Source organism: Homo sapiens, chromosome 17, assembly GCF_000001405.40.
Source record: "Homo sapiens chromosome 17, GRCh38.p14 Primary Assembly".
Classification (NCBI taxonomy): Eukaryota; Metazoa; Chordata; class Mammalia; order Primates; family Hominidae; genus Homo; species Homo sapiens.
In genome coordinates, this window is record NC_000017.11 from 20,156,821 (window position 1) to 20,183,277 (window position 26,457).

At 40.3% G+C, this 26,457-nt stretch overlaps 1 protein-coding gene across 34 annotated transcripts in view; it reads left to right on the forward strand.

Moving 5' to 3' along the window:
- SPECC1 (sperm antigen with calponin homology and coiled-coil domains 1) overlaps positions 1-26,457 on the forward strand; it is a 309,668-nt gene that overhangs the window by 147,462 nt on the left and 135,749 nt on the right. The window lies entirely within an intron of this gene.

A 26,457-nucleotide genomic window follows, 5' to 3' on the forward strand; every position in this document is an offset into this window, starting at 1 on the left:
GTCGGCCCCCAGCAGAGTTAGATGCCGATAAGCAGGGTTGCTTTTAAAAACAAAACGAAACATTTCTGGACTGTCACGTGAAGCAAAAGGGATTTAGTTTTGCCTGAAAAATGGCATCTTGGCTGATAGGAAAGAGGTGGTTGACCTGACTCTGGAGTCCTTGTGGGGGTGGGGGGCCGGTGACAGGTATGTGTTTCTGTGGGAGAGTCAGAACTGTAAATATTTTCCAAAGGCGTAATATTTGAATTTTAATTTGAATGAGGACTTTGAGGCTCTGAGAGGTGAAGCGACTTGTCCGAGTGACCTTTTCCGGAGCTGGGTGCCGTGCTGTAGGACGCTGGGTCGTCCTGGCCTCTGCGCATTGCTTCTCCTTCATCTCCCAGCGCCCCAGCCGCCCCACCTTGGCCCTATCCTCGGGGTGGGGTGGAGGCGGGTGCCTCCCTGACACTTGGGGTACATTGGACTGGTACCACAGCCAGGATGGAAAACTTGGACGGGCTGTCCAAGTTTCTTCACAGGAATACTATGAAGAAAAATTTCAGGGGCCAGCTTACTGCCTAGAGGTGACTTTAGTTACACAGCACTTGTTCAGACTATTTTTTGGGCAGAATAACCAACAATAAGCATATTCATAAAATGAAATATGCATAAAATAAAAATAATATACTTGTTATAAATAACCCTGTTGGTAAAGGATTGGTTCGGTAAAGGATTGGTAACATTTTAAAAACACTTCTCATTAGTTACATGCTTGTCCAGGTATTGTGAAAACCCCTGTGTATTATTTCCTTTGTGTTAAAATTGTGAAAAGAGTTACTCTTGTTACAGCTTTTAAGACTGATTGGATGCCTGTGTTCCAATTTTTTTAGTGACCTTACTTTTTAAAGCACTGTGATGGATAGGACATAAAAAGAATATGTTTATGCCAGTGACTTATTTTATTGTATTTTTCAAAGAATGCATATCATTTCAGAATGGGAACTCTGATTTGCTGCAAATGAAGATACCGGATTTAGGGCATTTTTAAGAGATGGTGTCTCACTATGTTGCCCAGACTGGCCTTGAAGTCTTGGGCTCCAGCACCTCTCCTCCGTCAGCCTCCCAAGTAGCTGAGACTACAGACAAATGCCACCTTGCCTGGCTAGAAATTCGTGGTAAAAACTTTAAATGCTGGATTACTGTCTGAAAGTGTAATTTTAACTGGCCTTCTAATGCTGTGATGAAATGCTGTAGAGTTCATCACTGAGATCCTGGAAATTAGAGCTTTGTTAAAGATGCGTGGGTTTTCAGTCGGCTTTACCACAGGGACTGGGATGAGGTCGCATGGCCCCAACTGGCAGTTGTGGTACATTGGACTAGAATCTCAACAAGTGCTTCCGAGGGTCATCAGAGCAAGGGGACCAAAAGGATATAAGGGGGAAGCAGAAGGAGAAGGGAGGCTGGATGAGTGATAGCAGCACACAAGCCTGAGTGTCGCATGGTTCCCGTATTGTGTCAGTTTTGTCCATGGAGAACAGACATTTAGAATTAAGAATGTATCCAAGACAGACAATAGGGATAGGAAGCAGAATTAGAGGAGTTCGAGACCAGCCTGGGCAAGGAAAGCTTTTGATCATGATGCAGACCCAACACCTATGAAAGGGAAGCGGGAGGCAGCAGGTTTGGGCAGGGAGAGCCTCAGATAATGATGCAGACCTGAAGTCTTGGCCACTTGATGGGGGAGCTCCCTAGCAAAGCCCACCCATTAGAGGGGTCTCAGGTTGGGCAGAAAGGACAGTCCCTAGTCTTTCTGTGGGTCAGTCATTGGCCAGAGGCTACTTTGGAAGAACGTGCCTTCAGCTCAGAAGCTAACACAAGTCTTGGGATCCTCGTGGTGCCAACAGCTGGAAGCTGTCAGCCCTCTGCAGTCCTTGCAGATGAATGGCAAGTTCGGTTTTTTTTGTTCTGTTTTGTTTTTTGAGACAAGGTCTGACTGTCACCTGGGGTGGAGTGCAGTGCTGTGATCATGGCTCACTGCAGCCTTGACCTTCCAAGCTCAGGCAATCCTTCCACTTCAGCCACCCAAGTAGCTAGGACAACAGGCCCGGCTGTTTCGTTTTTGTTTTGTTTTTTTTTGTAGAGATGGGATTTTGTTTTTGTTTTTGTTTTTTTTTTTGAGATGGAGGCTTGTTCTGCCACCCAGGCTAGAGTGCAGTGGTGTGATCTTGGCTCACTGCAACCTCTGCCTCCTGGGTTAAAGCGATCCTCCCGAGTAGCTGAGACTGCAGGTGTGCACCACTATGCCCGCCTAATTTTTGTATTTTTAGTAGAGGTGGGATTTCACCATGTTGGCCAGGCTGGTCTTGAACTCCTGACCTCAAGTGATCTGCCTGACTCAGCCTCCCACAGTGCTGGGATCACAGGTGTGAGCCACCATGCCTGGCGTAGAGATGGGATCTTGCCATGTTGCCCAGGCTGGTCCCAAACTCCTGGGCTCAGGTGATCCTCTTGCTTCAGCCTCCCAAAGTGCTGGGATTACAGGTGTAAGCCACTGTACCTGGTTAAGTTCTTTCTTGAAAAAGGGATCCCAGTGGAACACCTCCATGGTTGACTGCCACAGGACCTCAGTTGCTTGGACAGGGAGAGTCTCTTTAAAGAGTAAAGAGGTAAAATCCCCATCTGAGACCCGCTGTAGGCGTTGAGATTGCACCATCTTTTCCAGATGGAAGCTCCTCATCCCCTCTGGGGTGTTTCTAAGGCAGAAGGCAGCTTCTCAGCTGCTGCTGCTTTTCTAGCCCTGGAATTGGCTGTGGTGGCAGCAGGATTCCTCTGTTGTGGTATCTGCAGTCCTCCGAGTTGGGACATCATGACTTAACATGGTATTGCAGAATGGATAAGATAAATAGATCCAGTAAAAGATATGAAAATTTCATGTCTGAAATTTTCAGCCTGGGCAGAGAAAGTTGGTGACCACATCTCATGCTTCCTAAAAGGTCCTAGTTAACAGTCCTTCAGTTTCCAACCAGGTTGTCATCACCTCATTGTCAGGGCTGCTGGGCATGGTTGTGCAATTTGTGTACTGTTCAAAGGCATCTGCTTAGAGAGTTGAGTGGGCCTGGCAGGGTTGTAGCAACCCAGAGGAAGGGGTGCCGTTTTGCAATTTTGCCTTTTTATATTCACACAAAGGTGCCCAAAGTGTTAAAGAAGTCTTAGAAAGTGAGTTTAGAAGGTTTTCCCTAGTCCCAGTACCAGCTTATTATTTGTTTTAAATTTGCATGTATGAAATTAAAAAGTTAATGCAAATTACATGAAATAAAAGCTGCTCAGGTGCACTCTGTATTAGTTATAGTTAATGCTAACTGTGGTTACAGATAAATTCCAAAATAGCCACTTAAGACAGTTAAAGTTGATTGCTGCCTCATGTCGCATCTGGTGTGAGTTGGGGGCCATCAGCAGGTGGTTGTTAGAGACTCAGGCTGGTGGATGCTCCTCTTCAGCATATGGCTCCCAAATTGCCCTGAATCTGCCAGCAGTCGGGAGAGGAGAAGGCGTGTGGAGGACCCTGCCCGAGGTTTTAGGGGCCAGGCCTAGAAGTGGTGCACATTATTTCTACTTATGTTCCACTGGCCAGACTCAGTCACAGAGACCCACTGACATGCCAGGGGACTGCATCAAGCAGAGAGCATGCATATTGGTAAACATTAGTGTCTCTTTGTAGACATGATGACCATTCTCAACCACATTTGCATCAGTATTTTATTACAAAAATTTTAATCAGAAAAATTAAGACTTACATAGTAAACACCCATGTACCAACCACCTAGATTCTAAATTAATATTTTGCTGTATTTGCTTTATTTGTACATCTCTATATTCATTCCTCTACCCACCCATTAGTCTGTCTTATTTTTTGATGCATTTCAATGAAATGGTAGTTACCTCTACAATTCTACATGATATACTATACCCTTATTGTTTCTTGATTTGTTAGTTTTCAAGCCTCTCTACTACTAACCTGCACTATGAAAGTTGAGGAATTAAGCACATTTTCCCTGCTATATATTCTCCTCACTCCCCGTTTCTGCAAGTCATACTTAAATTTTCCAAATCCATTGTTAGTATAAAAATGCTAGTGGTAGAATACAAGTAGTGGTATACAGAAGTTTACTGTAAAAGTCCTTCCACTTTGCTATATGAAAATTTCATTTTGAGACCAGCCTGGCCAACATGGTGAAACCCCGTCTCTACTAAAAATACAAAAATTAGTCGAGTGCGGTGGTGGGCACCTGTAATCCGAGCTACTTGGGAGGCTGAGGCAGGAGAATCGCTTGAGCCCGGGAGGCGGAGGTTGCAGTGAGCTGAGATCGCGCTACTGCATTCCAACCTGGGTGACAGAGTAAGAGTGTCTCAAAAAAGAAAAAACTTTAAAATTCTAAGGTAATCTATTGTTTTCCACTTCTATTTCTTGACTCACCAGCTTTAAATAGTGTCCTAGGCTTCGTCACAGGTAAATGAGGATGTAGTGCCCCTAAATGTCTTCTGCCTTATTCTCAAGAGTCCCCCTCCTGCACTTATTCCCAGTCTGCCTCTGGACCTTTCACATGGCTAGAACATTTTCATTCTGTTCCATAATTAGTATTAGTAAGTCTTCTGTGCATCATTTATAGGTTAATTCTAAAAATGGAAGGCCTATCAGCATTTAAAATATCAGGATCTCATGTATTATTTAATGGAGAACCAGGTAGTATGTTTAGATTTATAGAGAAGACAGTGGCATCTTACATTGCATAACGCGTGATCTGTGAAGACAGGAGGAAGGAGTAAGGAGAATGGAAAGGAGTTGGTATGAATATGCTCTTTACTTTTAAAATTAATATGCTTTTATCCTGTTACTCAGTTTCTGTCTTTTGCAGACTGTAAGAGGGAATTTCTTTTTTCTTAAAAACAAGAAGCTAGTCTGCCTTTTCATACTCAGTTCTGTCACTTCTTTTTTTCTTTCTTTTTTTTTTTTTTGAGACAGAGTCTCATTCTGTTGCCTAGGCTGGAGTGCAGTGGAGTGATCTCAGCTCCCTGCAACTTCTGCCTCCCAGGTTCAAGAGATTCTCCTGCCTCAGCCTCTTGAGTACCTGGGACTACAGGTGCGTGCCACCATGCCTGGCTAATTTTTGTATTTTTAGTAGAGACGGGGTTTCGCCATGTTGGCCAGGCTGGTCTCCAATTCCTGACCTCAGGTGATCCGCCCACCTGGGCCTCCCAAATTGCTGGGATTACAGGCATGAGCCACCGTGCCCTGCTCTCATTTCTGTCACTTCTGCCCTCAGACTTCGGGCAAATAATTTTTTATTTTTTTATATATATATTTTTTAGACAGAGTCTCGCTCTGTCGTCCAGGCTGGAGTGCAGTGGCACGATCTCGCCTCACTGCAAGCTCCACCTCCCGGGTTCACGCCATTCTCCTGCCTCAGCCTCCCAAGTAGCTGGGACTACAGGCACCTGCCACTGCGCCCGGCTAATTTTTTCTATTTTTTAGTAGACACAGGGTTTCACCGCGTTAGCCAGGCTGGTCTCCATCTCCTGACATTGTGATCCGCCCACCTTGGACCCCCAAAGTGCTGGGATTACAGACGTGAGCCACCGCGCCCGGCCCAGGCAAATAATTTTTCCTCGAGCTTCAAATTCTTTATCTAGGAAAGGGAAGAGTAATATAACCTACATTGTAGGATTGTTGTGGTGATTCATAGGTTAAAACATATGAAGGCTTAAAATAGACACACATAGAAAGCACCTGATAAGTTTTAGCTGTTAATTCTTCTTAACCCTCCAACATAATACTTTGGTTTGGACTGGTTGCTTTCTAGTCCCATCTCATTCTCAGGTTAGTTCATTATTTCTTGGATCCTTTTTCTCTTTTTTGGATTCTCTTTGCTTTTGTAAAAGTGAAGATGTGGCTGGGTGCAGTGGCTCACGCCTGTAATCGCAGCACTTTGGGAGGCCAAGGTGGGCGGATCACCCGAAGTTGGGAGTTCGAGACCAGCCTGACCAACATGGAGAAGCCTTGTCTCTACTGAAAAATACAAAATTAGCCAGGCATGGTGGCACATGCCTGTAATCCCAGCTACTTGGGAGGCTGAGGCAGGAGAGTCCCTTGAACCTGGGAGGCGGAGGTTGCGGTGAGCCAAGATTGCACCATTGCACTCCAGCTTGGGCAACAAGAGCAAAACTCCATCTCAAAAACAAAAAACAAAGTGAAGATGCATACATCAAATATCAATGGTAATACATAGTAAAAAATCTAAGAAGGTCAAATATATGTTACTGTAATAAATGTCAGTGGGTTAAGCTCCCCATTAAAGAGCTTCCCCTAATTAAGACAGAAAATCAAATATATATACTGCAGAAAAGCTTGTTTATACGTTACTTTGATTTTTAAAATTAAGTCATTTAAAGTTGTGGATAATAAAAAAGTAGCTCTTGAAATTTTCAAGTTCAACGTCTTGTTATTCCATATGTTCTATTTACAAATGCAGTAAAATTTAATAAGCACTCTTTAAGAGCATCTGGTTAAATTGAGTTCTGTTTACAAACTTTGCTAATAAAATTAACATTTTAATTTGTGTTTATTAATTTAGTATATTTAGGTTCTTGTTAAAGTCTGACAAAAAAATCCAGTTTTTAAAGTCTTATAAATTTAATAATTATTCTAATAAACTTAGTGATTCTTAAGTCCTCTTATATATTCCAAAACATTTATATTCTCTCTCTCTCTTTTTTTTTTTTTTGAGACAGTTTCTGTCTCTGTCACACAGGCTGGAGTGCAGTGGCAGGGTCAGAGCTTACTGCAGCCTTGACCTCCTGGGTGCAGGCGGTCCTCTCACTGCAGCCTCCCGAGTAGCTACGACTACAGGAGCATGTCACCACCCCTGGCTAATTTTTGTGTTTTTTATAGAGACGGGGTCTTGCTATATTGCCCTGGCTGGTCTTGAACTCCTGGGCTCAAGCTATCCTCCCACCTTGGCCTCCCAAAGTGCTGAGATTTTATAGGTGTGAGCCACAGTGCCCAGCCTGTATTCTCTCTTTATATGTGTGTATATGTAGATGCAAGCTTTCCAATTTAAAATTACAAATTAATTACTCAGTTACATATTTTGAATTGGAATCGCAAGGTTGACCCTGTAACTCTTTAATAGATCCAATTCTCATAAACATTAAAAGTATAATTCTATAATGCAGATATTTCTTAATATGGAATTCTATTACTACTTGTCTGATTCTTTTGATTATTTCCCCACTTGTTCTAAATCTTTCTAGGATTAAAAGATGTTTACATAAGTGTTTTATTCCAAATAATATTGGGATTTCTTCCCATGTAATTTTTTTTTTTTTTTTTTTAAAGAGACAAAGTCTTGCTCTGTTGGCCAGGCTGGAGTGCAGTGGTGCGATGCTGGCCCACTGCAGCCTTGACCTTCCTCTCTGCCCCAGCCTCCTGAAGTAGCTGGGACTACAGGCAGTGCCACCATGCCCAGCTAATTAAAAAAAATTTTTTTTTTGGTGCAGACGGGGTCTCACTGTGTTGCCCAGGCTAGTCTCCAGCTCCTGGCCTCAAGCGGTCCTCTCACCTAAGCCTCCCAAAGTGTTGACATTTGCCACCATGCCTGGCCCCATATAATTTTTGGGGTTGTCTTCTCAGTTTGCTGAGGTTTTTTTTAATAAACAGAGATCTCTGACAGGGACAAGGTTGGGATTCTTACCCTACCCAGACTTCAGATATCAGCTTGAGCAACTTTTGCTTTGGTTGGAACATATTCTTTAACATATTTGGTTTGAGCATATTCAGGGATATTCTGTGCTTGTTAGTTTTCTCAACCTTCATCTGAGGATAATGTTTTGCCCTTACCCTTTATATACTTTGCCCGGGTATAGAATTCTTGTTCACCACCTTTGTAATCTTTCTGTAGCATGGACTTCAAAACTTGAAGAAAGAGGTGTCATAATACTCATGTGCCTTAGATTCAAATTACATTTAATTTGTGTAGCTTCTAATAGCCTGAGACCCCCATTCGAACGGCCATATCACCTGATTAGAGTTTACACTTCTTTAGCACTTAAAATATATAAATATTTTCCCATTTAACTCCAAAGAACTTTGACTTGATAGAATACTGCCTGGTTTTTTTATACTTTCTGTCTCTTAAAGCAGTATCTTTTTTAAAAAAATTAATTTTATTTTAAGTTAAATTTATTTTAAAAAGTTAAATTTATTTTAAGGATACACGTGCATGACATGCAGGTTTGTTACATAAGTAAACGTGTGCCATGGTGGTTTGCTGCACAGATCAACCCGTCACCTAGGTATTAAAGCCCCACGTGCATTAGCTGTTTATCCTGATGCTGTCCCTCCTACTACCCCCGCCCTGACAGGCCCCAGTGTGTGTTGTTCCCCCCACCCCCTGTGCCGTTTCCATGTGTTCTCATTGTTAAGCTTCCATTTATAAGCAAGAACATGCAGTGTTTGGTTTTCTGTTCCTGTGTTAGTTTGCTGAGGATAATGGCTTCCAGCTCCATCCGTGTCCCTGCAGAGGGCATGATCTTGTTCCTTTTTATGGCTGCATTCTGTTCCATGGTGTATATGTACCACATTTTCTTTATCCACTCTGTCATTGATGGACATTTGGATTGATTCCATGTCTTTGCTATTGTGAAAAATGCTGCAGTGAACATACAGGTACATGTATCTTTATAACAGAATGATTTATATTCCTTTGGGTATATATTCAGTAATGGAATTGCTGAGTCAAATGGCATTTCTGGTTCTAGGTCTTTGAGGAATCGCTGCACTGTCTTCCACAATGGTTGAACTAATTTGCATTCCCACCAACAGTGTATTTCTCCACAGCCTCACCAGCGTCTGTTGTTTCTTGACTTTTTGATAATCGTCATTCTGACTGGCATGAGATGGTATGTCATTGTGGTTTTGATGTGCATTTTTCTAATAATCAGTGATGTTGAACTATTTTTCATACGTTTGTTGGCTGCATAAATATTTTCTTTAGAAAAGTACCTGTTGATGTCCTTTGCCCACTTTTTAATGGGTTTTTTTTTTCTTGTAAATTTGTTTAAGTTCCTTGTAGATTCTGGATATTAGACTTTTGTCAGATGGATAGCTTGCAAAAATGTTCTCCCATTCTGTAGGTAGCAGTATCCTTCTTGACAGTTAAAACAAAATGTGATTTAATTGTGGATATCTTTCTTGGCTTTGTCTATCTTACAAGATAATTCTACTGAAACAATAGTATCAGTTAAAAACACAATACACCACAGAGTGTCTTAAATGAGATAGGACCTTTTATATTGATAAAAGTACAATTCAAGAATAAAAAGTAGCAGTTACAAAGTCCACTCACTAAATAGCAAAACACTGGAAATAACTAAAGCAAAACCTATTTGAAACACATGGAAAAACTCACAAGTAAAGTGGGAGAATTTAACTGTCTTACACAAACCATTTTTTCAAAATTATCATGGAATGGTTAATATATTGATCTATTCTAAGGCCAGGAAGAAAACGTCATTACTGTTGTTCAAGGGAAATTTTACTGGTCACTCTGTGATCGTAATGCAATAAAACTGTAAATAATGAAAGTTGACATTTTAAAAACTTATTCTATTTGGAAATTTTGAGTCAAATAGGAATTGAAAACTACAATTATAGATCATTTAGAAAAATAATTATGAAATACTAATAAAGTTACAAATAATAAGCAAATTTATTCCTCTGAAAACTTTTATTATCAAAAAATAAAGAATGAAAATTAAGTTCTACACAAAGGACATTCAAAAGAAAAGAAACAACAAAAGAAATCTGGGATAACCGGAGGGAGTTTTTAAAAACGGCAGACATTAATGAAGTAAGTTACGACTGTGTCTGTTTCACTCTTCTCTTTCCTCAGTACCTAGCCCAGCCTTGTCCCTGTCAGAGATCTCTGTTTATTAAAAAAACCTCAGCAAACTGAGAAGACAACCCCAAAAATTATATGGGACCAGGCATGGTGGCAAATGTCAACACTTTGGGAGGCTGAGGTGAGAGGACCGCTTGAGGCCAGGAGTTGGAGACTAGCCTGGGCAACACAGTGAGACACCATCTGTACAAAAAAAAATTTTTTTAATTAGCTGGGCATGGTGGCACTGCTTGTAGTCCCAGCTACTCAGGAGGCTGGGGCAGAAAAAGCCTAAGAGTATGTTCTTTGTTAAACAAATGAAGTAAAGTTTTAGTTAGACTCATCAAGAAATAGGATAACACAAATACCCCAAATTAGCTATATATATGTAATGTGTATATATATATTATATTATATATAATTTATATTATATATAGTGTATGTAATATGTTAGCTACATATATGTGTTTATATATATACTATATATATAATGTATATAATCAGGAATGTTGGATATTTTTTAAAAACTAGAATAAAAAATAGAAAATCTTGATGAAATTAGGAAAACAAAATTACCAAAATCAATTCATAAAGAAATGAAACACTTGGACAGAAAAATATTCTTGGAAGATGTCACAAAGTGACTTAAGAAAATAGCTCCCAGCTGGGCGCAGTGGCTCACGGCCTGTAATCCTAGCACTTTGGGAGGCCGAGATGGGCGGATCACCAAAGTCAGGAGTTCGAGACCAGCCTGACCATCATGGAGAAACCCTATCTCTACTAAAAACACAAAATTAGACGGGCATAGTGGTGCATGCCTGTAATCCCAATTACTCGGGAGGCTGAGGCAGGAGAATCACTTGAACCCAGGAGGTGGAGGTTGCAGTGAGCTGAGATTGTGCCATTGCACTCCAGCCTGGGCAACTTGAGTGAAACTACGTCTCAAAAACAAAAAGAAAATACCTCCTCAAATAATCCTGAATCCAGATGGTGTTATAGGTAAAGTTTTTCATATATGAGAAAAATGTAATTTCTGTGCTATTTAAAGTTATGTGGTATGTTTCCCAAAGATATTGGATATTACATATTACAGAGGATATAATAAGATATGTACAGATGATTATTTCTTAATTTAATAATTAACATATGCTAGAAAAACTATAACTTGTACATTTAATCTATGTCTGTTGCTTAGGATCAGGTTAAGTCAAAGAAGAAATTAGTCAATATTAAGTTTATGCAGAAAAATATTAAACACATAAGACAGCTGAATGCAAATATAGCCAAAATTATGAAGGTGATATTCAAATAATAGAAACTTGAAAAATATTCCAAAGTACAGAAAAGATGGAAAGCATTCCGATTTGTTTTGATAAAAGTAGTACTAATACTGTTAATACTGTTTCTGATACCAAAGCTTTTCAAAGATGGTATGAACAAAGAAAGCCACAGTATATTCTTACTAATGTAGATGCTCTCCTTAACTGACATATCAGCCACATTTAATCCAACCATGCATTTAAAAAAACATTACACCATTGGCTAAAAAGTGGCTTATTCTAAGAATGCAAAAATATTATTATATAAATAGAATTGGAAATATCAGTACATTTAAAGATAAAAATTAACATCATACTGTATGTCAGTAATGCATTTAATAAAATTTAACATCTACCTCATAAACATTTAATTCCTGTTGGAATAGTCTGGATCTTTTCTGAAGATAAATAAAATGCTCTAAAAGCAGCACATACCATGCTTAACAGGAAACTAAAAACATCCCCATAAAGGTCAGGGACAAAACAGTGGTGCCCATACAAGACTGTATGACACTGTTTTCAAATATACTAGCCAAACCAGTAAGATTTTAAAAAAATGGTTATTAAAAAATGAGAAAAAATTAGCATTATTTGTAGATACTAGAATTCTCTTGTTAGAATAACCAAGGAGATCAACTGAAAAAGCATGAGAACTTATGGCAATTTAGTAAGGTAACCAGCTTGGAAATGAGTATATAAATTCAGATATATATGTGTGTGCTTGTATGCTTGAATGATTCAGATATGTATGTGTATGCTTATATGATGTAGATGTATATGTAACAGTAGTTTTATGTTAGTAATCAGAAACGATGGTATATTTTATTTTATTTTTTTGAGGCAGGGTCTTGCTCTGTCATCCAGGCTGGAGTACAGTGGTGCTATCTGGGCTCACTGCAACCTGTGCCTTCCAGGCCCAGGCAATCCTTCCACCTCAGCTTCCTGAGTAACTGGGACTACAGGCATGCGCTACCACACCCAGCTAATTTTTGTATTTTTTGTAGAGACGGGGTTTCACTATGTTGCCCAGGCTGGTCTTGAACTCCTGAGCTCAAGTGAGCCACCCACCTCAGCCTCTCAAAGTACTGAGATTATAGGCGTGAGCCACTCTGGCCACAATGGTTTGTTAAAAGGTTTCATTCACACTATGAACAAAATGTATAAAACCTGAGGAAGAAATAAGAAGTGTGCAAGGCCTCTGTGGGAGCTATAAACTATCTACTCAGGGGCATAGATACAAACTATCTCCTCAGAGGCACTGGTGTTGATGTGGTAGGTGTCCTCCATTAAGTGGAGGAATTATCATTATATATTATAGTTCTGAAAATCAGAAATAGCTGCTGAATTTTCCAAAATGCCTTTTGGGCATTCACACAGATCTATTTTTCTTTTTAGATAGAATGATTTGATGGATTTAAATATCTTCACCTTACAATAAACTGTGTCAGGTTTTTCTAAATCTTCCTTTTGGAATTTTTTTTTTTTTAACATGAAAGGTGAATTAACAGCATTAATTTTTCTTGGTCCCTTATTGCGTTATATATAAAATAAGGGTATGTGTGCATGGTTAGTTCTAAAGTTCCTGATAATTTTAACATTCTGTGATCTTATGGTTTTAGACATTTTTTCCCAAGAGACAGGGGCTTGCTCTGTTGTTCAGGCTGGTCTCGAACTCCTGGCCTCAAGGGATCCTCCTGCCCTGGCCTCCCAAAATGCTGGTGTAACAGGCATGAGCCACCGCTCATGGCCAGACTTTTAAACATTTCTAACTCAGAGAAGTGTTTGGATTTTACCTCTTGAATGTGTTGCGCCAATTTGCTTTAGGTACGGGATTTCTAGTTTGTTGAATTCTATTTTACTTACAAAAATTTTTTATATGGCTCCAATCAGATCAAACCAGCCTATGTAGTATCATAGAAGTAACATTAAAATATTGAGAATTTTGAAGGGTTCCAGGTATCCTGAAGACTTTACCGTCACAGGACAAAAACACTTATAGGGCTGTCCTTCCACCAGACCCAGCCTCTGCTGTTCCATTGCCCTTGCTGCCCTCCTCCGTCCAGTTTGTCCGCTACCTTCTTGCTTAGCCAGGATGTGTGTTGTTTGGCATCTGCCTTCACATGGACATTGTGCTGCAGTTGGTTGCTTCTCCAGCTAAGTAAGAACTGTCTGAGGATCCATGTTTATCTTTGCCATCTCCATGGTCTCCAACACTCTGCAGAGTCCTTAGCAAAATGTATGGTTTTAATGAATTGATGGCAGCTGTCCCTTGTATTTCCAGGAAAGTTTTGAATTCTCAGGAGAAAGTAGGTTTGATATTTCAAAACGAATGTGGTTGGCCAAATGTTTTATATTGGGATTAAAGAAATTATTTTAGTACCACAAACTTCCAGAAAGCTTGTCCATAAGAGTTTTTCCTCACCCCACACCACTACAAAAGTGACCCAGAAATCCTGAGCCAGTGGAACTCCCAGGGGGGTGCAGGTATCACTGGGACCTTGCCCACCCTACTGTCTCCTTTCATCCCTGTCCCAGAGACCTAACATCACCATGGTCTCCTTTCCCTCAGTCTTTCATAAGTATTTGTAAATACTCTTTTACCAATATCATTCTTTCTCTGTTATTTTTCCTTTTTAACTGTTGCTCTTTTACTTCAGAAAAATTTTTCTTTTTTCTTTTATGCTCCCCTCATTTCCAACTTCCTGTTCCAAATTAAGCCTAATTATGGTTGAGTGTTAAGATTACGGTTTATGATAAACCTAGAAAGATAAAGTAATACATTTTTATGTGAAACTATATCTAGTAAAGAACTGGTACCAACCACCTCCAAAGCCCTTGAAAATCCCCTTTGTTTTATCTGCCAGAGAATTCATCTCTTTCTCTAATTGGTCCTGCTTTTCTCTCTAGCACAAGCAGCCAAATTTTAAAAAAATCTTGGAAGGTTACATTATAAGCAGTCTAACCTTTTGATCTGTAAGCAGATAAACAGAGTCTATTCATAGTGGTAAAAAACTGTTATGAAAATTATCTGTTTATAGTTATATTTTGGCCTCTTTTGCTCTCCCCTCAGTCGTATGTTATAGTATGCTGAAGATACATGGAATTAATATACTTCCAAACTGGACCAAAAATGTCATATAACAGCCTGTATTTGCAGGTTAACAAAGTATGAGTGAGAGGGGTATGTGGCTCTGAGTGCTTTGTTTGCCTGTTTGTATTTGTGTTTCTGTGTTCCTCCTGCACAACTTCCCTGACAGCCTGTGCTTTATGCTTTCATAGGGATTTTGAATCATAAGGGAAAGAAGAAAGATTGCAAATCAAGAGATACCAGTAATCAGATCAATGATGAAATTTTAGTGTAAACTATACATTAAAATGACTTCTTCTGTAAATTTTGGTATCCAGAACCTTATGCTAACCCTTTCAGATAGAAAACAGGGCTTGAAGTATCACAAACATGCCTTTTTCATTTACTGTTTTTTTCATTACTTAGGTTATTCCTATTTTTTTTTGAGACAGAGTCTTGCGTTGTCACCCAGGCTGGAGAGCAGTGGTGCAATCATGGCTCACTGCAGCCTCGACCTCCCAGGCTCAAGTGATCCTCCTGCCTCAACCTCTCGGGTAGCTAGGACCACAGACGTGTGCCACCTCACTTGGCTAATTTTTTTAAATTTTTAGTAGAGGTAGGGTCTTGCTGTATTGCTCAGGCTGGTCTCATCCCTATTAATGTGAATTCTGGTACCAGCTTTGACTCTGGAGATGCTCTGGGGCTTCTTGATGGCTGTGGTCAGCCCACACCATGGTCATGTGCTTGCCAGCATTCTGGTCATTCCTCTCTTATCTGCTGCCTCTAATCTGTTCCTGTGTGCCTGGAGACTGGTAGCCAAACCTGCCAGAACTGTATACAGACCAGAAGTGCTTCTCCTAGTAGTATGCAGGTGTGGAGTTTAGGGCACAGTCATTTTGAGCTTCTCTGGAGCTCTCTTCCTTTTCCCGCTGATGACATTATCTCAGGTAGCTGAGTGGCCATAGAACTGAGTCTTAGATAAAGTGTCACTGCACAAGCATGTGGTCAGGTGCTGTTCCCCTGCCCTGGCACCTGTGGAAGGTGTGTGGGCCTCCTTTCTGTTGCTTTCTTGTACCACACCACACCCCTTCTGGCCTCAGGGCTCCTGCATGGGCTTCTCTGTGCCTGGATGCTCCTCTCTCAGCGTGTTACAGCTGATCCTCCATGGGTTGACTGCAAGGCCCAGTTTGCACAGGATACTTCCAGTTAACACCTGATTGTGGATCAGTTTACTCCTGTTATTTTTACTCTCAAAAAGTGCCCCAATTTGGAAGATAAAATATACTGTCTCCTACTTAACCATTTCAGGTCTCAGTCCAGTGTCACCTCTTCAGGTAGACCTTTCCCTTTCTCTCTCAGGGGGCAAGTCTCCTGGTTTGCTGTGACTGCAGAATAAACCCCAGGGCTTGGTTGGGCTGAGCCAGGGTTTGCCAGCAGACAAATTCAGGCTTCTTTCTATGTGAGGGCCCATGGCAGGCCAGCGTGGGAGGACGTGAGATGGGAGGGGCAGCCAGGTGCTGGGAGGGTTGGGAGAGACATGGGGAGGAAGAGTGAGGACTGAAGCCAGGGGGAAGAAACATGGAAGTGTGCTGTAAGCTCTGTGCCCACTAGCCCTTGATGAGTTTTAATCTGCTTTACCCCTCAAGGCTGTAAGAGTCAGATCTGAGTGTTTTGAAAATGAGACGGTGTGTGCGATTAACTTGAAGAGAACTGATACAGGAGAGATCTTTGGTGAGGCCTGATTATAAGTGGATGACAAGCTTCATTTTTCCTAGGTGATAGGTTGGACTGTTAGACAAAACTTTGGATTCAGAGAAAAGGCACTCTAGGTGCATTTTGCCTCCTTTCTTTACCTTGATGGATTTTCATGTTGGTCAAATGAAGACTTGGGCTACATCTATGAAATCCCTTCCAATTTTTAGAAGTATATAATTCTGTTGTACGCTCTAGTGAGTCCAGACTATAAAGCATTTTGAATTTTACTATTTCTTTTCCCCTAATTGTGGGCCAGAAAGGAAAATTTCCAAATAAGGATGCACAGTCCACTCTGGGAAACACAGGGAAACAATAACTAGAATACAAGTCTAGCCTTTGCCCTGGCATGAAAAGAATGCAGACTGTTAGCTGACCTAAAGGTTTCTGTTTTATTTCACGTTTAGGTGAAATGGTCAGCTTTGACCATTACTCCCAAAGAAGTTTCTCTCCAGACTTTAAGATATTTGTGCAACATTAAGATGGTTTTATTATCTGTGAGACAGCTGTGGTCACTTTTATTTATCAAAGTGCCATGTTTATTGTATATGTATCAGGAGCAGTGCTGGAAAGCTAAATTTAGAGAAATAAACCTGGGCTCACAAATGATTATGGTGACATTCAGTATACCCCCAATGACACTATCACTATAACATTGCTAGGTCGCCTCCCAGCAGTCTAGCCATCTCAACCATAAAGGAATGGCGAAGTAATGATGGCAACTTGCCTTATTGGAGAGTGTGTAGACTGCCGTTTTAAACTGTAATTGTCAGGATTAGACCTCAACCGTGGTGAAATGTTGGGCATAAAGGTACATGAACAAAGCTAAGTGCAAAGTTGTGTGAATGCTGATTCAGTCTTTGTGAAAGTACAGTCCACAGGACACAAATTGGCAAAATTCATTTGCCTTACAGTGTTTAAAGTTTTTTGAATTATAACATTTTGGGCCTGAGTTCTCCACTTGCTGCAGTTTCTGCCAGCCCCTTTGTTCTTTACTTGGCTCTTGCAAACATTTATTTACCTATTTAGCTCTATAGACAGTTGAAGTTTTTGGTGTTTTTTTTTTTTGTTTTTGTGGAGACGGAGTTTTGCTTTTGTTGCCCATGCTGGAGTGCAGTGGTGTGATCTCGGCTCACTGCAATCTCCACCTCCCAGGTTCAAGCGATCCTCCTGCTCAACCTCCCAAGTAGCTGGGATTACAGGCATGTGCCACCACATTTGGCTAATTTGGTATTTTTAGTAGAGACAGGGTTTCACCACGTTGGTCAGGCTGGTTTTGAACTCCTGACCTCAATTGATCCACCTGCCTCAGCCTCCAAAAGTGCTGTTTACATGCCTAAGCCACTACACCTGGCTGGCAGTTGAAGTTTTGACCCCTGTTTAAAAAAAGAAAAGACTATTATAATACTGGAATTTAAATTACAATAAAGGTGATTTTTAAATAAAATAAATTTTAAAAATTAAATTGATATACTGTAAATATGCAGTTAGGAGATAATTGATCTTCCTGGTTACTTCCCAGGGAAGCAGGACTCAAGACCCAGATTTGTGTGCAGAGTTTATGGGGGTTGCTTCTGGGAACAGTACCAATGAGGGGGTGAGGGAAGCCGGTTGGGCAGAGGGAGAAGCTAAGATGGATGCAGCTGCGATAGCTGCCTCTTCAGTCCCAGGGGATTGAGCTGGAATGGGCCTTCACCGTGTCCCAAATGGAGACCAGGTGGTCACATCAGTCTCTCCCCCCCATCAGTCTTGGAGGGGAGTCTGCAGAGAATCTGTTTCTTTGCCTTTTCCAGCAGTCTTGCCCTTCATTTCCTTTATACATCTCAAACACTCACCGAGTATTTTCTTCTTTCAAAAGTTTATTCTCGGGGAGGTGGCTCCCTGGCTGACCACAGGTCCCGCCGGCATTCAGCCTGGCTGACTCAGGAGGTCAGCGCCTAGACCTGACTCATTTTCTTCCGCTCCTTGCCGACCTCACCAGGGCCTGCTTCCTGGCACCTCATTTGACCAAGCCCTCTGCCTTGGTCAAAATGACCAAGGCAAAATTTTGGTCAAAATTTTTTGAAATGTTAGTTTCAAAAAAAATCTTAACCTCCTCTTTGCCTGTGGTGGGTGGGCAGGCCAGGTCAGGCTCACCCTGCAGTGTGGAGGGTGGGGTCAGAGGCCCCTGGACAGCCTGGGGCCGCCTCTGTGCTCCGCAGCTCAGTTTTGGCGGGAGAGCCCTGGCCAGTTGTCAAGAAAGTGCGCCTCTGTTTCTGGGGTAATGCTGTGGGCCCAGGACCTTCAGCCTGCAGCCCCCAGAGGGGATGTAGTCATGCCAAAGCTCCTGATGCCATCATCATCACGTTAGAACCCCTCACCACCACCTCCACTCATAAGTCATTTGCCCTAAGCCAGCACAGCACTTCGAATTCAGGCAGTTGATCATCATCTAAGCGTGAATACCATTTTATTAATTTTTGCCTAGAAATTGGCACTCCCTTTAAAATCTTTTAATGCTTTTGTTTACTGCAAGTTTTCTTCCATTACTTTTTCTTCTGTGTGTGCCCTCTCCTGGCTCTCTGGCTTTCCTGTTATACTTGTATTGGATCTTTTCAGTCCTCTATGTCTCTTAAATTTTTAAAACTTCTATTCATTTCAGTATTCTTAGTCGGTCTTCTCATTCATTGATTGGATTTTCTGTAGTGTTCAGTATTGCTAGTGATCATTATTTTGCAAGTGACAGCAATCTTTTCTGATGTGACATTTTCCCTTTTAACAAAGATGTTTTTCTTTAAACATCTTACTGAAAATTGGTTGACTTTCTGAAGGACTATTACTACACTGGCCTTGCTGGGTATGTGGGTACCCATGACTGTTCTGCTCCTGGAGATTAAGTACTGGGACTTCTGTAGCTCAGGTCCCTAGGGGGCCTGGGCCTCTGCCGGGTGGGACAGTGGGCTGGATGCACATGTAGGGTAGGCTTTAGTGCAGCATTCCTAGTCTGTGAACTTCTCCTGTGTCATGCCAAGGGATTTGAATCCAGGTGTGAATTCAACTACTCATAAAAGAGAACCATACTGACCTATGGCACATTGAGTAGAGAGTATTTTTTAAATGAATTAGGCCTGATTTAAACTATATTCAGCCCCCTTGGCTTATGTAAATGCGCAAATTTCTGCAGATTCTCTGCATAGAAGTTTTTTTCTTCATGCTTTCTGGAGCGAAAATTCTTATCCTGGCTTCCTTTATTTACTAGCTGTAGGATCGCAGGCTAGTTTCTTGCTTGCTTGCTACATTCCCCTCCTGTGTAAAATGGGGCTGTTAGTATTTCCTTAGGGAGTTCTTTGAACAAAGCCCAGAAGTTAATAAGTTCTCAATGAATGTTAATAAATGTTAAATAAATTATCAGAAAATGTTAGTTTCAAAAAATCTTAACCCCTTCTCTTTTTCTTTTGTCTTCTCCGCCTCGTTTTCCTACTTTTCAGTCATTTTACTTGAGGGTAGGCAACATTTCATTTCTCACCAAATGCAGACAGGTGCTTCTCCCTACTTCCGTGTCCCTCTCCTTCTCCCACTACCCTTCTTGCCTTCTCTAAGGTATTATTTATGTAGTCAGGGAGTGTATTGGTTCCTGTTGCTGCTATAACAAATAACTACAAATTTAGTGGATTCAAAAACAATGCAGAATTATTTCCTGGCAGTTCTAGAGGTTAGAAGTCTAAAGTCAAGGTACTGGCAGGGCTGTGTTCCTTCTGGAGGCTTCAGGGGAATATCAGTTTCCTTGCCTTCCCAGCTTCTAGAGGCCACAAGCATTCCTCAGCTTGTGGCCCCTTCTTCCCTCTTCAGAGTATATTGCTTCAACCTCTTGGGCTGTCATCACATCTCCTTTTTCCGTCCCTGATTGTCTTGCATCCCTGTTGTAAAACCCTGGTGATTATATTGAGCCCAGCAGAGAATTCAGGATAATCTCTTTATCTCAATATCCTTAAGCACATCTGCAAAATCCCTTTGTTGTGTGACATACTCACAGGTTCTAGGGATTAGGATGTGGACATATTTGGGGGATTGTTATTCAGTGTGCTGCAGGAAGGTAGATGTGTAAACCTTTTATCATAGCATAGTGCAGGTGGGACTTGCACAGCGGTACCCTGAGCCAAAGGTGTGGACCTCAGACAAGGAAGCAGTTATTTCTGAGGACATTGGGAAAAGTTTGATAGAAGAGAGATGTTTGAGCTGAGTCCTAAAGGATGAAGAGGCCAGGGAAGTTTGGAAGGCTTTTAGGCTGAGGAAACAACACTTGCTAAGAAATAGACTTGTAAAAAAAATCCAGCAATTTTGAGGAATAGTGAAATCTTTGATGTTGCTAAGACACAGGGTATATTGAGGAGAGTGGTAGGCAAAGAAAATTGTAGGTTAAAACTAGAATGTGCTGTGATAATGAGCTTCTAATGTATCCTGTAAAGAGAGGGGAGCCAGTGGAGTTGTTTTGGTGGCTTTTCAATTATAAATTTTTGTCTGATTGTGTAAGTAGTTTTCTTCTTCTAGAAAATGAAGAAACCAAATAAATAGATCAAGAAAATAAAATCATTCAAAGCCCTGCTACTCAGAGATAATGACTGTTGACATTTCTGTGTAGTGTCATTATTGAGCCATTTGTGTGTCTGTTTACCCAGTTGAAACCTCACTGTATATTAAATTTCATATCTTGAATTCTTTAGTTAACGGCATATCAACATTTCTTCATGTAATTAAATACTCTCAACTATCCTTAACATCTCCATAATATCCTATTGTATATATTACCATAATTTATTTAATCCTTCATTGTTAGATTCAATATTTTTGTATTTTATTTTATTTATTATTATTTTTTGAGACAGAGTCTTTCTCTGTCGCCCAGGCTGGAGTGCAGTGGCGCGATCTCGGCTCACTGCAACCTCCGCCTTCTGGGTTTAAGCAATTCTTCTGCCTCAGCCTCCCGAGTAGCTGGGCCCACAGGCATGTGCCACCACGCCCGGCTAATTTTTGTATTTTTACTAGAGACGGGGTTTCACCATGTTGGCCAGAATGGTCTTGAACTCCTGACCTCGTGATCCGCCTGCCTCGGCCTCCCAAAGTGCTGGGATTAACAGGCATGAGCCACCTCACCCAGCCATATTTTATTTTATTTATTTATTTTTGAGGCAGGGTCTGTCTTGCCCTGTCACCCAGGCTGGGGTGCAGTGGTACGATCACTGCTCACTGCAGCCTTGACTTCTCAGGCTCAAGCAATCCTCCCACCTCAGCCTCCCTAGTAGCTGGGACTGCAGGCATGAGCCACCACTCCCGACTCCTCTCTATTTTAAATAATACTAACACATAGATCTGTGTTTAAGTTTTTGAATGTTTCCTCAGGGCAGGAGTGCTTCTCCTCTGTTTATTCTCTTGAGACGTGAGATCAGGTAGAAATGTTCCCGTGTCTAGGTGGAGGAGACCCCAGTGTGCCCTTTCATTTACTCCTGGGCTCTAGAGTGGAAACTTCTGTGTTTTTCTCTGTGTGATGATTTGTGTGGGTGCCAAGGGCCAAACCCACATTTAGCAAAGAAATAGTGTGATCCACTTAAAAGGGGGTTTAATAACTTGAGATGGAGATATCAAGCTGAACATTCACAACAAGCATAACTAAATCAGAGAGGCAGAAGAAAGCATTAACCAGAAAAATAAGTACTAACTTTTAAAGAGTGATTACTCCTGATTTAAAACTTTTACTAGATGAAATACAAAGGGTAACAGACTGTGTTGAGAACTGAATTAATTTTCTGGAAGGAGTGTCTTGTAAAACAAAGATATTGTGAGGTGAAAAATGTAAGATGCTTAAGGGATCTATGTAGGAGACCTAATAATTGAATGATAGGATTCTTAGAAGGGGACAAAGTAACAGATGGAAAATACATCGTATTATAAAAGAAGAAACCCATCTGAGCTGAATAAAATGTTAGACTTCAGATTGAAAGGACTCATGGAATTCTTTTTTAAAAGACAATTGCTGGACTGCAGCAATAAAGATAGAAATCCTGTCAACTTCTAGGCAGGAAGATAGGTCTGTTTTGAGGGAAATTGGGATGCCATAGGAATTCTTACCCACTTCACAAAGAAGCTAGAATAGAGTCTGTATGGATTATTGACTCTAAGGAACTAATATAAATCTTCTGTATTCAGACATATCAGCCTGGGTTTTTACTTGCATGCCACAGAAGCTGATTTTGGTTGGCTAATAAATTTTTAAAGATGTTGAGTTGCTGTGAAATTGTTAGAAGGGCTAGAGAGAGATGTCTGCAGGCACTGCAGCCAGGGACAGCGCATCAAATCTTACACAGAATTGGCCCAGGCCGGATGCTGCTGCTGTGTTCCTGGGCGTAGACAGTGTAGCTTGCACCAGATGCTGCAGGCACTAAAGTCTACAGTGAGTGCCTTGGCCACTGCTTTCTGGGATCTTGATCTTGCTGCAGCTACCATTCTTGCAGTGAGCATTTTCCATCATAGTCCTTGCTTTGCAGCATTAGTTCCTGAATCAAAGTCTGGGACAGGTGTAAATAATGGCAGGGTCAAGGGGGCCTCCTAGCTGCAAGGGGGCACTGAGAAGGCAGGCAGCTGGCATTTTTAGCTTATTTAATGGGAGGTAGACCCTACCTTTAACTGAGACTAATAAGGTGGGAAAGTCCCCAGGCTTAGGAAAGAAGGGTTCAAAAGCTAGGTAGTCAGAAAGAATGTCAGAGATCAAGTACTCTTGCCCAGATATAATTCAGCGAACCAGGGCAAAAGAAGAATATTTTTAGCCATGAGGGATTCATCCATCTCATTTGAACAAATATTCAGATGTCCAATTGGATGCTGGTAATTGGCTCAGAATAGAAATATGAAGATAGAAGAAAATGAATAATATAAGTAACAGTAGAGAGCAGTGAATGTTGCAGCAGGAAACATTGCATACATAAATGGAAGATATTAACACGGCTGAAGATTCAGAATGTAAGTGTAAAGTAAGAATTCTTGGAAGGATCGTACTGCCTTGGAACATCTAGGAAATAGCGTGGAACTAAAAATTCTAGACCATCTCAGCAAAATCCTGAACTAGGATTGCAGGCATTCAGATATAAAATTCCTCTAAAAATTTCATCTTTGTTGGTGTGGGACTGGGGGGCATGGTTATTTAGTTTGGATGAAGGTTTAATTAAGAGTGTTAGAAATGGCAGGTAACTACTAACCAAGTAGTAAAACATAGTATTCCCAAAATAACAGGGATCAAGGATGATAGTGAGCACAGAGGTAAGCAGGCCAGGAAGGAATAAAGAGAAGTAATATCAAATTAGCAAAAGCGAGGAGAGGAAAAAGATGAAATGAGTTAACAAATAGTAAACAAAATCAAGTGGAAACAGTAAAGCCAAATGAGCAGCCCCACAGTAAATACTCATCAGCTAAACTCACCTATTAAAAAACAAAGGTCCAGAATATTAGTGTCAGAGCAAGATGCAAGAACAAAAGCATTGAACAGGACTAAGAGGTACTATATATTGGTAGAAACCAAAAATATAAAGTATAACTGCCTTTAAGCAGCAAAATGCATAGAACAAACACCAGGAACAAAAGAATTTGGTAAGAAACATATTCTACTAAGAGATGCTAATTATGTGTCTTTTCTAATTTGACGGGTCAGCTAAGCTAAATTGCCAACTTGGATGCTCACAGGGGCCGGTGGGTGGCATGAATATGTGAATTATATGGTGAGAGACCAGGGATGGTGGGAATTGCACAGCGAACTGGATAATGCATGTCTTGCCTAAAGGCATTGAAATTCATACATTTTAAAGCACTTTGCCAGCCAAACAAAATATATTTGTAGCTTGCTTGCAGCCTGCCAGTTTTCAACCTTTGAAACAAAAAAGCAAAAGTATAGAGGTTAGAAACAACATATGCAACAAATGTATTGCATATGTTGCAAACATATTTATTGCGAAAATGTACAGGGAATGTACATTTTCCCCTAGGTCTAGGGAGTATTTACAGAAGTTGATCATGTCATTTATCACAGAAAACAAAAAGTGAAATATGAAAATTTTGATTTTTGTATGCAATAACCTGTCCTGTCAGTCCAGTGAAATTAGTGGTAAAAAAAAAGAGATGATTATAACAACAACAACAAAAACTACCTTGGAGTTAAGAGCCACTGTTGTAAAATAATCTCTGCACCAAAAGAAAATCTAGACAAATTATAAATCATCTAGAAATAAAAGAAATAGAAGCCTTTTGATATCAAAATTTGTAGAATAGAACTGAATCTATAGTCAGGAAAAAGTATAATCTTAGATGCTTTTATTAGTATAAGAAAAGAAAGACTGAAAATATAAGAGCGAAATATTCAACTTATGAAACTAGAAAAAAGTACAAAATAAAGAGAAAGGTAAAAGCTGAAATGAATGAAATAGAAAATAAAATGGTAGAGAAGATAAATAAGAACAACACTAGTTCTTTGAAAAGGCAAATAATGGAAATTATTCTTGATTAAAGGAAAAAGGAAAAAGTATTAGCAAAGAAGAATCCATTGTTATAGGTATGGAATAAATGAAAAATTAAATCTGCAGCAATATTTGTGAAACTCTGGAGGAAGTGGGCAATTTCCCCTCAAAATATAAATTCACAAATTGTTTTCTAGAAAAAATATAAAACCTGAAGTATTATTGCTAGTATTTAACATTGTTTTGGTATTGATGCAATAAGGCAAAAACATTTTTTGTTTTAAATACTGAAAAAGAGGAAAATAAACTTGACCTAAGAATAAGAGAATTTGTGATTATATATAAGATAAATATAAAAACAAAATACCTTTTTTCTATGCCATCAATAACTGGTTAGCATTGGAACGTGAAAAAAAAATTCAATTCACAAATACCATAAAATATCTAGGAGTAATTTAAACTAGAAAATTATAGGACATAAAGTGAATAAATATTAAATCTTACTGTGGTTCATAAAACAAGACCTGAGATAATGGAGAAACTGCAGTATGTTCCAGGGTGGGTAGATATAATGTTATAAAATTGTCCTTCCCAAGTAGCCTGCTTAAGAGACTAATTCTCCCCAGAATTTTTCATTAGGAAAAAAGGAAGCTCCTTACATTTAAGTCTTAGAAAGTGTCTTTTTAAACTTGGCATGTTCTTAATAACTTTATTTTTGAATAACGAAGTAATACTTCAGACAAACCTCAATTTTTTCTTTTTCTTTCTTTTTCTTTTTTTTTTGGAGACAGGGCCTCACTCCACTTTCCCAGGCTGGAGTGCAGTGGCATGAACTTGGTTCACTGGAGCCTCATCCTCCAGGGCCCAGGTGATTCTCTCACCTCAGCCTCCCAAGTAGCTAGAACTACAGTTGCACACCACCATGTCCCGCTAAACTTTTTGTATTTTTAGTAGAGACAAGGTTTTGCCGTGTTGCTCAGGCTAGCAGCAAACTCTTGGACTCAAGTAATCCGCCTTCATTGGCCTCCCAAAGTGCTAGGATTACAGGCATGACCCACCACGCCCAACCTCTTCAATTTATTTTAAATTGAGTTTTATAGAGGCCACCGGACAGAATCGGTTTAAAAAAAGATAGACAATTTTGTTTTATTTAGTACTTATTCCATTGGGTATGATCTCATAGTTACAAGTATTGTTGAATTGAGGCTTTGAAAGACTATATAACAATGCAATAATTGGTTAGGTTGTAGAGATCACAAATGTATACCTACAGGAAGAATGTTTTTAAAAAAACTGACCTAATGTCATATAAGTACGTATTTGTGACTTAGTATAACATTTTCAATGACAGCGTAATACTATCATTGGATTCAGAAAGTACTGAGTCTCAAGTAGCTTAGAGGATAGAGGAAAGGGGTGAAGAAAGAGAGAACCAAGGTGATGCATGATACCTGCACTGCCTGTTAAAGAGAGCTTCCAGAAAATGCTTCATCCGCTTGGCCAGAACCTAGCCATCTGGCCACACCCAGCTGCAAAAGACGTTGGAAGTGTTCTGGAACCACCAAGTGCCCAACAAAAAGTTGAGTTAATGAGGAAGAAAAGAGAACAAATAATGGGGTACAACTAGCCTCTACTTGGACATAGGTAGTACTCTGGGGGAAAACATTATAAAATATGCTGAAATATTAGTACGCTTGTAAACAAATAAAAGTAAATGCCAAAAGAGGTGGCGGTAGAGGTCAGTAGGTATAGGGTGATGAGCAATCAAGTGGCAAAAAAGAAAAACAAAGGTGTTCAACATCAGTAGTAATCAGAGAAATGCACATCAAAAGAAATCACTTTTCGACCTTCAAAAATAATAACTTCCAGTGGTGGTAAGTGTACAGAGAAACAATTACTCCTATATGTCTACCCCTGTGGTGTGTGAATGA